Below are 12,474 nucleotides of genomic sequence, written 5' to 3'. Positions count from 1 at the left end.
CTTGATCGATTTCACTATTGAAGCTTGTGCATGCGTCACAAAGTTCTTGTGCCATGGTTTTCAGCTCCATCAGATCATTTAAAGTCTTCTCTACACTGTTTATTCTAGTTAGCCATTTGTCTAATTTTTTTTCAAGGTTTTAAGCTTCCTTGAGATGGGTTCAAGCATCCTCCTTTAGCTCAGAGAAGTTTGTTATTATCGACCTTCTGAAGCCTACTTCTGTCAACTCATCAAAGTCATTCTCCATCCAGCTTCATTGCATTGCTGGTGAGGAGCTATGATCCTTTGGAGGAGAAGAGGCACTCTGATTATTAGAATTTTCAGCTTTTCTGCTCTGTTTTCTCCCCATCTTTGTGGTTTTGTCTACCTTTGGTCTTTGATGTTGGTGACCTACAGATGGGGTGTTGGTGTAGATGACCTTTTTGTTGATGTTGATGCTATTCCTTTCTGCTTGTTAGTTTTCCTTCTAACAGGTCCCTCAGCTGCAGGTCTGTTGGAGTTTGCTGGAGTTCCACTCCAGACCCTGTTTGCCTGGGTATCACCAGCGGAGGCTGCAGAACAGCAAATATTACAGAACAGCAAATATTGCTGCCAGATCCTTCCTCTGGAACTTCATCCCAGAGGGGCAGACGCCTATATGAGGTGTCTGTTGGACCCTACTGGGAGGTGTCTCCCAGTTAAGCTACACGGGGGTCAGGGACCCTTCAGGAGGCAGTCTGTCCATTCTCAGAACTCAAACGCCGTGCTGGGAGAACCACTGTTCTCTTCAGAGCTGTCAGACAGGGACGTTTAAGTCTGCAGAAGTTGTCTGCTGCCTTTTGTTCAGCTATGCCCTGTCCACAGAGGTAGAGTCTAGAGGCAGTAGGCCTTGTTGAGCTGCAGTGGACTCTGCCCAGTTCAAGCTTCCTGGCTGTTTGTTTATCTACTCAAGCCTCGGCAATTACGGACACCCCTCCCCCCGCCAGGCTGCAGCCTCACAGAATGATCTCAAACTGCTGCACTAGCAGTGAGCAAGGCTTTGTGGGTGTGGGACCTGTCAAGTCAGGCACGGGAGAGAATCACCTTGTCTGCCGGATGTTAAGACCTTGGGAAAAGCTCAGTATTTGGATGGGGAGTGTCCTGTTTTTCCAGGTAGTCTGTCACCACTTCCCTTAGCCAGGAAAGGGAAATCCCCCAACCCCTTGGGCTTCCCAGTTGAGGCAACACCCTGGCCTGCTTCAGCTCGCCCTCCTTGGGCTGTACCCACTGTCCAACCAGTCCCAAGAAAATGAACCAGGTACCTCAGTTGGAAATGCAGAAATCACTCATCTTCTGCGCCAAACATGCTGGGAGCTGCAGACCAGAGCTGTTCCTATTCGGCCATCTTGGAACACCCCCTGAGCCTAATTTTCAATGTTACAAACTTCAATATCACTTCTTCTGGCTTACTGAAGGACTCGGAATGTATTTTTTTTTTCTTTTGCATAGATAAGAATGTCAGACATCATTTATTTCTCACTTAACATATGGAATCCTTCGAAGTCACCACCTTGTTCATCATCATCACTGAACACAATCACAGGCCAGAGGTTGTTCCAGGCATGCCCAACTGTGTCATTGTGTTCAAAGTGTTGGCAACAACATGTATGGTATCCTTTCGTATTTACTATTTATTGATCTAAGGGTACCCTCTTTTATGGCTGAATAATTGAATTCAAATTTGGGGAAAGTACATGCCATAAACATTACTTTTTATGAGTATTTCAGCTGGAGGATGAACAGAACACTTGTTGAAGAATAACAAAATCTTATAGTCATCATTCAGTCCTGTTTTCTTGCAGTAAGCATGAGCTGCTGATACAAAATGTATGTGAAAACAATAATGAAAGATGTCCGTGGTGATTCATGCCTTTTTGTTAGCATCATAATTGACTGGCAGACATTTGCTCCTTGGACACAACAAGCATGCACATTTGAACCTATCACAAGTTTACTTATGCATGCCTGCTGCATTAGCACAGCCTAGCACAGTTATTCTGTCTTTGGCATCCTTAACTCTTGTAGGGGCTGGCTCATCAGCAGTAGTCAGTGTCTTTTTGGGCAATAACATGAAAACGGTGATGTTTCATTAGCACTATAGACTTGTCTTGGCATCAGATTTTCACCAGCAATAATCTTGACAAACTTGTCAATGGATATTCCCACTGCTTTGTGTTCAGCAGCTGCTTTATCATCACAAATCTCTAAACGAGTAATGCCGTGTGTTTTTTTAATTCTGCAGCTAGACTCTTGAGTATTCACAGCTCCCTTTAACTTTCAGTTTATCATGATAGATCTCTGCTTGTTTGTTTCATGATCAGCGTACTATTAAATGGGATGTGTTCATTACAATGATGATAGATCTAATTTTTCAATACCTGATCCAGATCTTAATCATAAAATAAGACCTTCCTTTTTAGCTTTATACAGTGCCTTTCTATTTTTTATTAATTTCTGTTCATCTTTTTCACCATAGAACTTTAACAATTTATCCTTATGTTTTTTCAGGTATATATGATGACCATAGTCTTCTGTAAGATGTTTCACACTTAAAGCAACTATCAAGTTTCAATGGCAGCTTGACTTTTTGTGTTTTATCTTTTTCTTACCACTGTTACCTACAGGGGTTTCTGCAGGCCTTTTAAACATTTTTAACAATATCTTTACACCACAGAGCAGAAAATAAACAGCAACAAAAAAATCACAATGAGTAACGCACGTAGATCTCGGCCCTATGTCAGGTATCATGGTGGTGAACTTGTTGTTGGCATGTTGAGGCTACACACGTGCCATTTTAGTACCCTTTGTGGGTGTGCTTGCATGGGGGAATCTGTGCATATGTGGAAAAGATATTTCACACCTGAAGGGGGCAGGGAAAATCTTTTCTCTTGGGGATGCTGAGTAAACTGTGTTTTGTGTGTCTGCAGTTTGACTGTGATTTGTCACATGAGGTCAGGTGTGGAATTTTCCACTTGTGGCATTATATGACTGGCCAAAAGTTTTGAATTTTGCAGGTTTTCAGTTTTCACATTTTCAGAGTATGGATTATCATCCTGTATATATGCATAATGGAGTACTATGCAGTCTTAAAAAAAGAAAGAACATTCTGTCATTAAGAACAATATGGATGAACCTGGAGGACATTATGCTTAATGAAATAAGCCAGGCACAGAAAGACAAAGACTGCATGTTGTCACTTATATTTGGAATCCAAAACAATTGAGCTCTTAGAAGCAGGGAGTAGAATAGTGGTTACCAAAAGTTTGGGGTATATGAGAATGTGGAGATGTTGATCAAAGGGTACTAAGTTGCAGTTGGTCAGGAGGAATAAATAAGTATTTAAGGTTAAAAAATGTGAAATTAATTAATGTTGCATATCAAATAATATTCCTTCTGTATGCGTTGGATTGGAAGTCTTTGGTGTCTTTGTTTTCATCCACTTTTGCAAATGAAATTCATTCAGCTACTCTGTAAAGCATGAAGCTATTATTGACTTCTGTGAATTGAAGCTCAGTGAAATTAATAGCTGAAAGATTTTCCCAGAACAACTTTCATATCTTGCCTGAATATGTATTTCTGCCTGACTTGTATTTTCATCTTATCTTCATTGTTCAGAAACTGATTCTTCAGAAATGACCCACAAAACCACTTTTACTAAAATTACTTTCATCTTCCTCAAGCAATTTTGAAGTACTTTAGTCACAATCTCAAAAAAAGCCATTTTTTATAAGTAAAAAAAAAAATAGAGACAGCTTACTTAATTATTGAATCTGAATTGATTGGGTTGTGGGAAAAGAAGCATTTTAGATTAAGTCATGTAAACTACTTCTGAGGAAGGTACACATGAGACAGATTTATTATCTATAAATAAAATTATTATAACTTGAACCCATGAGAAATATGGAAATCAAGTATGTGCAGTACTTTGAATCCCTATGTGTTTATCCAACAGATGCCTACTATATTCACAATAATTATTGCTGCATATGAGATAAAATGATAAATTAGACATGGCCTCTGTTTAATAAGATGTAGAAAATTTTGAAGAAAATATAATGTTTTTAAAAATTTCTAAATAATTTGTCTTCATGAACAATATGCTATCCATTCATTGATACAACTGGTTATAAGACAGGAAGAAAAGGTTGGATTCTTAAATTCAAAGGGTTTTATATGTAAGGCAGTAAATTAATACTAATCGTGTGCTAATTAAAAATAATAAGGCATGACAAAATTTGCCATTTCTACTAAAAATAGTTTAAATATAAAGAAGAGAGAAAAAGAGCAAACATTTACTCAATGTTAATTATTATGTTATCTCATTTAATTATTTTGTATATTACAAAACTAAGTTTTAAAAAGTCAAATAATTGTTCACAGTGACAGTAATAGTAATCAATGGAGCAGGAATTAAAATTAATTAAAATTAATATACTGGAATGATAAAATTGAACGAGAATATAATTCTCAAATATCCAACCTTGTCAAACTGGGCTATTTGTATATTAATTTTCTGTATCCTCTTTATGGGGCCTTTGTACACTGTGACAGCCAATAATGTAGTACATTATGGGTGAGCAGAAGGATGAAGAACCTTTAGATAACTTTGGGAACTTTCCCAGCACTGGCAAGTCATGATAAACACCTGCATCGAAATGCCATTACAGGATTTTACTATAGAGTTGGTCACTTAAAGGGCAGTACAAGTATGGAAAAGAAAGAGGTATTTTTAACATCTAGGGATATGAATGTTCAGCTAGATTATTAACTTTGATTTATAATTTTCCTAGAGTATGTTTTAAAAAAGAAAGTAAAGACTATTACTGAGTAGGGAGACATGATGCCTTTTACCTTCTTCTGTACAGTAATTTGATAGTTTTTATTACATCTAATTTATTGACCAGCTATTCACTCTTCCTGAGAATAGAACAAGATGAACTTGGCTGAATAAATTAGACTTTGTGGTAAGCAAAATAACGGCCCCCTAAAGATCTCCAGAATAACTTAAATTCATAAGAAATATGGATGTCAAGTATGTGCAGTGTTTTGAAGGCCTTTGTGTTCATCCAATACATACCTACTATATGAACAATAATTATTAGATGTATAGGAGATAAACTCCATATGAGTTCTAAGTCAGAAAGATACAGCATCAAAAGAGTTTGATTCACTGTTGCTGACTTTGTAGCTGGAGGAAGGGGGCCAGGAGACAAGAAAGGGAAGTAGCTCTAGAAGCTAGAAATGGCAGGAAATGAATTATTCCCTAGAGTGCACAGAAAGAAATCAGCCCTGCCCACACCTCGGTTTAAGCCCAGTGAGATGCATATTATACTTCAGACCTACATAACTGTAAATAATAAATTTGTATTGTTTTAAATTACTAAGTTTGTGATAATTTCCTAAAGCAGCAAAAGAAATATAAATAACAGCAAATATATGAAATAGATTGATAAATAAATAATAGATCAATAGGTTGATAAATATGCTAAACATAAACAAAAGAAGCAAAAGTAATATTCACTGTATTTCTTGCACAGTGCAATGGTGAATCCACAAAAAATACAAAATATAACCTTTAAACAATGGTTTACCTTGCAAAAGGGTATAAGGCTTCCTTACTTGAAGCAACTAGAACATAATGCATGTTATTGAGTATCCAAGTGCTAACTTGTGTGATTCTGAGAAAATATATTTCAGAGAAAGGTGCATTTGAAAATCGACATGAGCCCATGACTTGAGAAAGGAAATATGAGTGTCATATGGAAAATATGAGAAATATACTATTGACAGAATTGACCATGGATACTTATGAAAATTAGCATTAAAAAGTTTTGAATTCTCATTTCTTTACAATTCTTTTAGATTACAGATGAAGAGAAGGTTTTTTCTCAAACTGGACAACTTGCTTTGATTGATAGTGAGGCCCTGAAGATTTAGGATCGAATCTGACACTTCATATGAACTCAGAGGACATGGTCCCAGGATCATAGGAAAAAGGAAGGTTTTTCATGCTTTGTCTGAATATTGCCAGGGCTTATGTTCAGCCAATATTCAACAGTGGATACAATATAGCACTATATTTAACTATGTCAAGTATTCAAGTTGATAAAAAGTGGTTCCTTAACCCCCTTAGTGCCTCACTACTTCCTTGATCACCCGGCTTCTAACTAGGGCCCTGAACTATCTCTAATCCAGCAACTATAGGACTAACATATGGCACTGTGGTTATACTGGTTGTTATAAATTTTAAAGACTATATTGAATGAAGGTAAGGTGATATGCTAAATGATTTTTCAAGGTATGTTTGAATCCTACATTCATGTGATAACTAGAACAAATAGAGTATACATACTTGGTTAAAAGAACATATTGACTTATGTTTCTAGGTATAATTTATTTGGGATCAAGTAAAGAAGTAGCTAAATTACATTTACTTCTCAAAAAAAGCCTATTGATTACTAGCATGGCAAAGCTCCTGACACAATTACTTTATAAATTGCTTAGCAATGACCTCGCAACAGTAGCAGGAGTTGGCAGATGCATGCCATTGCATTTTCTCAGGCCAAATAGTATAACTTCTTGGCATACTTTGAGAAAATTCTAAAAATGGCATTTTCCATGTACAAAGCAATGAAAATGGAATGCCTTTTCTGTTATCACCATATATGGAATGTGGTAGAGAAAGAAGCAGACATTTAAAATTCACACAAGAGAATTTCAAAGACTTTTCCATCAGCAGTCATGCTGGGAGAATGTGTGACTATACTTCAGTCATGACCATACAAAAATAATTAAATAAGGGATTTGCACCATATCCAGGTACAGCTGCTGTTCTCATCTATGCTTTTATCTATGAGGCCACGGTTGACTTATTGAACTAGCAAAACCTAACATTTTCTGTAGAAAGTGGACAGACTGCCAGAAATTTACTCTCTGTCTCCCAAACCTATGCAAAATTTATCCATTCCATATGTATACCCGGTCTTTATCCAGATTTTCTATTTTACCTGAAATATTTTATCAGTCTGTACAATGAACTGGTAGAATATGTCTGGAACTTATCGTGTAGACTTTGCTCAGTTCTGAGAAACATTTATCAAAACATCAAGTGAGAATGACCCAGAATTTTATTACTCGATCATACTCTGCCATTAATGATACATAAATTGCATTGTTGTTGAATTAAGATTTGGAATTTTCTTTACTACTGCGTATTAATGTATTTTTGGGCTAGGCAATATGTTAAATTTTAAATAGGAATTAAAAATGTATGTTTACATATTCATATGTATAATTTTGCATTTTAATTCTAGCACCTATTATAATTTGACTTGCATTATAGTTAGTTGTACAAATGTATGTTTTCCTTATGAGACTGAGCTCCTTATGGATAAAGGGCATAGTTTATGCACTTTTGTTTACCAACAATACAGGATTTTTCTTGGAAGAAAATAGTAATCACTTAAGAAATATTTTTTTCAATTGAGTTGAGCTGAACTGAAGGGCTTTTTCAAAGCTTTATGGTACAAATTCTTTTGGGACAACCTTCTACTTTGCTGGCTCTCTGCATTGCTTAGGCAGAGCAATGTGGTTGAGTATAACATTTTTGAAATGATTTTTTTACTGAATTCTAGGCAAAGCAAAATGTATTTTTAGAGATATTGTTGTTGCTTTTCATCTTTTGTTACCATGATATTATTCATAATCTCAAATAGAAAAATATGTTTATAGCTAAATAAATGCCACTTTTTCTTCCGGCCCTCTAGAAAATGTCTAAACACAGAATGATATTCAAGGACATGAGTTGAGCCTAGTGTTTGTTGCTAATTATTGTTTGACATTAGGCTAACTTCCGGAGACTTAAATTGCACTGAATTTTTAAAATGGTAAAACTGGTCTAGATAATGTCTAATATCTCTTGAAGCCCAAAGATCTTTTATTTTCTCACATGTTATTTTGTTTAAGATATAGTCCAGTAAAACATAGGGAAAATAAGTTAGACAAGCCCTTCAATACCATCCCAATTCCATCCCCCATTCAGTTCCCCCCAACTCCATCCCCAAAGAAATCTATATTTAAGCCTCATTATTTGCCTTTATACTTTTCCACACAGTAGGTGTAGGCAGGTATTGAGACCCCTCTTCCTCAGGGAGACAAATGAAAGCACAGAGGGAGCAAGAAATTTGAACATGTATATCTATCATTTAATGAATGGGGAAATAGGAATAGGTCAGATCTCTTTAGTTCATGTCCTTTATTTGACAAGTGACAAGTGACTTTTCACAAATATGGCCTTATTTCCTTCTTATTGCTGTACCTGAAAAAGTCTCTCCAATGTCATCTGACACAATTTCACCCATCTTTCACAATACTTTCCTTTCTATATTCCCTTATCCCCTTTAGGCTTCTTTTTATGTTGTTTCTTAAAAAAATTTTATTACTTTCTTTTTATGATACAAATTAGCACAGGAGAAATACAAGAAGAAACACTAGTTATTTTCTCTTTTTAGTAGTAATCAGGACAATAAAAGCTAAAGTAAGTACACATTTGATGCCATATTTAACAACATGCTGTAATGTTTACATTTTAATGGACCTTAAACTCTGCAGATATATATAAATCCTTTCTTTTCCCTCTATCGATCGTAAAATACTACTTGGAATGATTTAATCAGGGCCGAGTTGAGAATTTTTAAAGTAATTGAATACTAATTACTAATCTGCTCTCAAACATAACTTTTGAAGTAAGAATTTGCTGAGTGCTTAAATCAGTTGCACTCAACTTTTAGCAGTGGCCACTTCTAAAGGAAAAAGAACCATATTATTGAAATAACAGAAACTTGTAAAAGGAAAGGAAAGAAACAGAATTCAGAAGATTAAGAAACAATCGACTTAACACTAATACACCTTTGTTCTTTTGAATCCTTAGGAATTGTTTCCTTTTGGATCTCTATAATTTAAGAGAGTTCTCAAATTTAAAACTAATCAGAATTACCTGATGGGTTTAAGTACGTACTGCTGGGTCCCATTCCCAGAGTTTCTGATTCAACAGGTCTAGACTGAGGACTGAAAATTTGAATTTCTAATAGGTTCCTCGGTGTTGCTGATGTGGCTGGTCAGGAGACCACACTCTTGAGAACTCATTGATGTGGGTTATATAATGACCTCTATCTTAAGGGAAAATACTTATAAAACCAGTTTCTGTTCTGCCTACAAACTATGTTATTCATCAACAGTATTTAATTGTTCTTAATGCAAGAATGAAAGTTTTCTTTAAATTGTGGTTTGATAAAGTAAAAAATGCAGACTGGCTGAAAAAATGTGTATAAAATAGAGGGAATTTGAAATCATTATACCATTAAAATAAGTATCTAAAAAATCAATATAAAAAAATCAGTAGCATTTGTGTACACCAAAACGTTCACGCAGAGAGCCAAATCAGGAATGCAATATCATTTGCAATAGCCACAAAAAGAGTAAAATATCTAGAAAGCTAATGAAGGAGGTGAAAGAGCTCTACAAAGAGAACTACAAAACACTGCTGAAAGAAATGAGAGATGACAAAAATAAGTGGAAAAACACTTTATGCTCACAGATTGGAAAAATCAAGATAGTTAAAATGGCAATATTGTCCAAAACCATTTATAGATTCAGTGGTATTCCTATCAAACTACCAACATAATTTTTCACAGAACTAGAAAAAAGTGTCTTAAATTTATAGGGAACCAAAAAAGAGCCCAAATCACCAAAGCAATCCTAAGCAAAAACAACAAAGCCAGAAGCATCACATCACCCAACTTCAAACTATACTATAAGACTACAGTAACCAAAACAGCATGGTATCAGTACAAAAACAGACACATAGACTAATGAAACAGAATAAAGAACCCAGAAATAAAGCCACACACCTACAACCATCTGATCTTAGACAAGGCCAATAAAAACGAACAATGGGGAAAAGACTTCCTATTTAATAAATGGTGCTGGAATAACTGCCTATCCATACGCAGAAGAATGAAACTGGACCCCAATCTATCACCATATGCAAATATTAACTCAATATGCATTAAAGACTTAAATATAAGACTACAAAGTATAAAAATTCCAGGTGAAAAGCTAGGAAATATCCTTCTCAATATCAGCCTTGACAAATAATTTATGGCTAAGTCCTCAAAAAAAATTGCAACAGAAACATTGACAAGTGGGATCTAATTAAACTAAAGAGCTTCTGTGCAGCAAAAAACAAACTATCAACAGAGCAAACAGACAATCTATCGAATTCGAGAAAATATTAGCAAACTATACATCTGACAAAGTTGTATTATCCAGAATATATAAGACATTTAAACAAATCCATAAGCCAGAATAAAATAACCCCATTAAAAAGTGGACAAGGACATGAAGGACAGGAGATGTGTCTACATCTCAAAAGAAATTATGCAAGTGGCCAAGAAACGTAGGAAGAAATACTCATCATCACTATTCATCAGAGAAATGCAAATCAAAACCACAATGAAATACCATCTCACACCAGTCAGAATGGCTTTTGTTAAAAAATCAAAAAATAACAGATGTCGGAAAGGCTGTGGAGAAAAGGGAGCATTTAGACACTGTTGGTAGAAATGCAAATCAGTTCAGCCACTGTAGAGAGCAGTTTGGAGGTTTCTAGATGAACTAAGAGTTGAATTATCATTTGACCCAGCAATCCTATTACTGGATATACCCAAAGGAAAATAAACTGTTCTACCAAAAAGACACATGCAAAAATATGTTCATCACAGTGCTATTTACAATAGCAAAGACATGGAATCAACTCAGGTGCCCATTAATGGTGGACTGGATAAAGAACATGTGGTACATACACACCATGAAATACTATGCAGCCATAAAACAATGAAATTATGTTATTTGCAGCAACATGGCTGCAGCTAGATGCCATTATCCTAAGTGAACTAATGCAGAAACAGAAAACCAAATACCACACATCCTCACTTATAAGTGGGAGCTAAACATTGGGTACCCGTGGACATAAAGATGGGAACAATAGACATTGGGGAATACAAGAGAGAGGAGGCAAAGAAGGAGGAAAGGATTGAAAAACTACCTATTGGGCACTATGCTCACTATCTGGCTGATTCATGTTTATTCCAAACCTCAACTTCAAGCAATATATCTTTGTAACAAATCTGCACATGTACCTCCTGATTCTTATTTCAGGAAAAGAATAAGATAAAGTTGAAAAAATATATGAAATAAGTATCTTAGATATATTAGCATAGTATCTAGAGAAAAATTTTAATGCTCCTTTCACAAACCTGAAATCATCCAGACTCCATTGAAGACCAGTAGAGCATCATAAAAATTATTACATAGGCACACAGACATACACATTGTAATACTTACCATGCTATAACATAGCCATATATACTCTGGAAAGTGTCTCAAGAGTATGTAATATGAAAATCATAGTGCTATAGCAGTGACATCATGCAGGTTGCTGAAATATTAGAACATATATTCATTTAATTCAGTGTAATTGGAATGATTTGTTATACTAATAAAAACAAAATATTTACTCATATAATTATCTTATGACTTCATTTACATCATCAGAAATCCTCGAACTATTTATTTGAAATTTTTAATATCTGGGGCTTTTATTTTACAGAGTAGATATGCTTGGTGTAGTCAAAGCTAATTAACAATTAAAGCTCACATACTATTTGATATCATGCCTTCCAAATTAGGACTTTAGAACATGCTGTTATTCAAAATGGCCAAGTGTATTCAAGCTTATTAAATTTTTATTCTCAGGAGTCCAAAAAGTGACATAATTATACAGTCATTTCAAAGCTAACAGGAAAAGAGGACTAGAGACAAAATAGTTCTTGTTTAGATGAGAGGAATACTGCTGTGTTAAATTCTCTCTCTCTCTCTCTCTCTCTTTCTCTCTCCCTCTGTTTCTTTGTCCCTTTCTGTGTTTCTCTCTCTCTCAACAATGTGTTTTCATTATTGATTAAAATAAGAGACTACTGTTTAGTCATTTTAACATGATGTCTCTAAGTTTAGTACTAAACAGTACCTTTTTATTGACTTTAAAACAATGTTTTTCTTTATAAATTACTTACACAATCTTTTCCTTCCATGTCTAATAATTATGGCAAGCTAGACTTCTGGTTTTAGTTTTGACAGCATAGAGGCTGTCACTGTTGTCATTACAATAAGAGAAAATTGGACAAACTTAAAATCAATGTCTTTTTTCAGACTCATCAGAGAGCTGAAGTTGCAAGGCAAACTATCATCCTGAAATTTGGGAAAACAGATGCACCAGAGACCAATATCTGCTTATCTGAAGCAGAAGCTGTTAAAGTGCTGAAAACAAAGAAACACTTAAATGGTAATTTTTGATTAACTGCATGAGAGTAGACTATCTAAAGAGTGAGAAACACAGTCTTA

Source organism: Homo sapiens, chromosome 4 (assembly GCF_000001405.40).
Source record: "Homo sapiens chromosome 4, GRCh38.p14 Primary Assembly".
Lineage (NCBI taxonomy): Eukaryota > Metazoa > Chordata > Mammalia > Primates > Hominidae > Homo > Homo sapiens.
Note: the sequence above shows the minus strand (reverse complement) of the source record.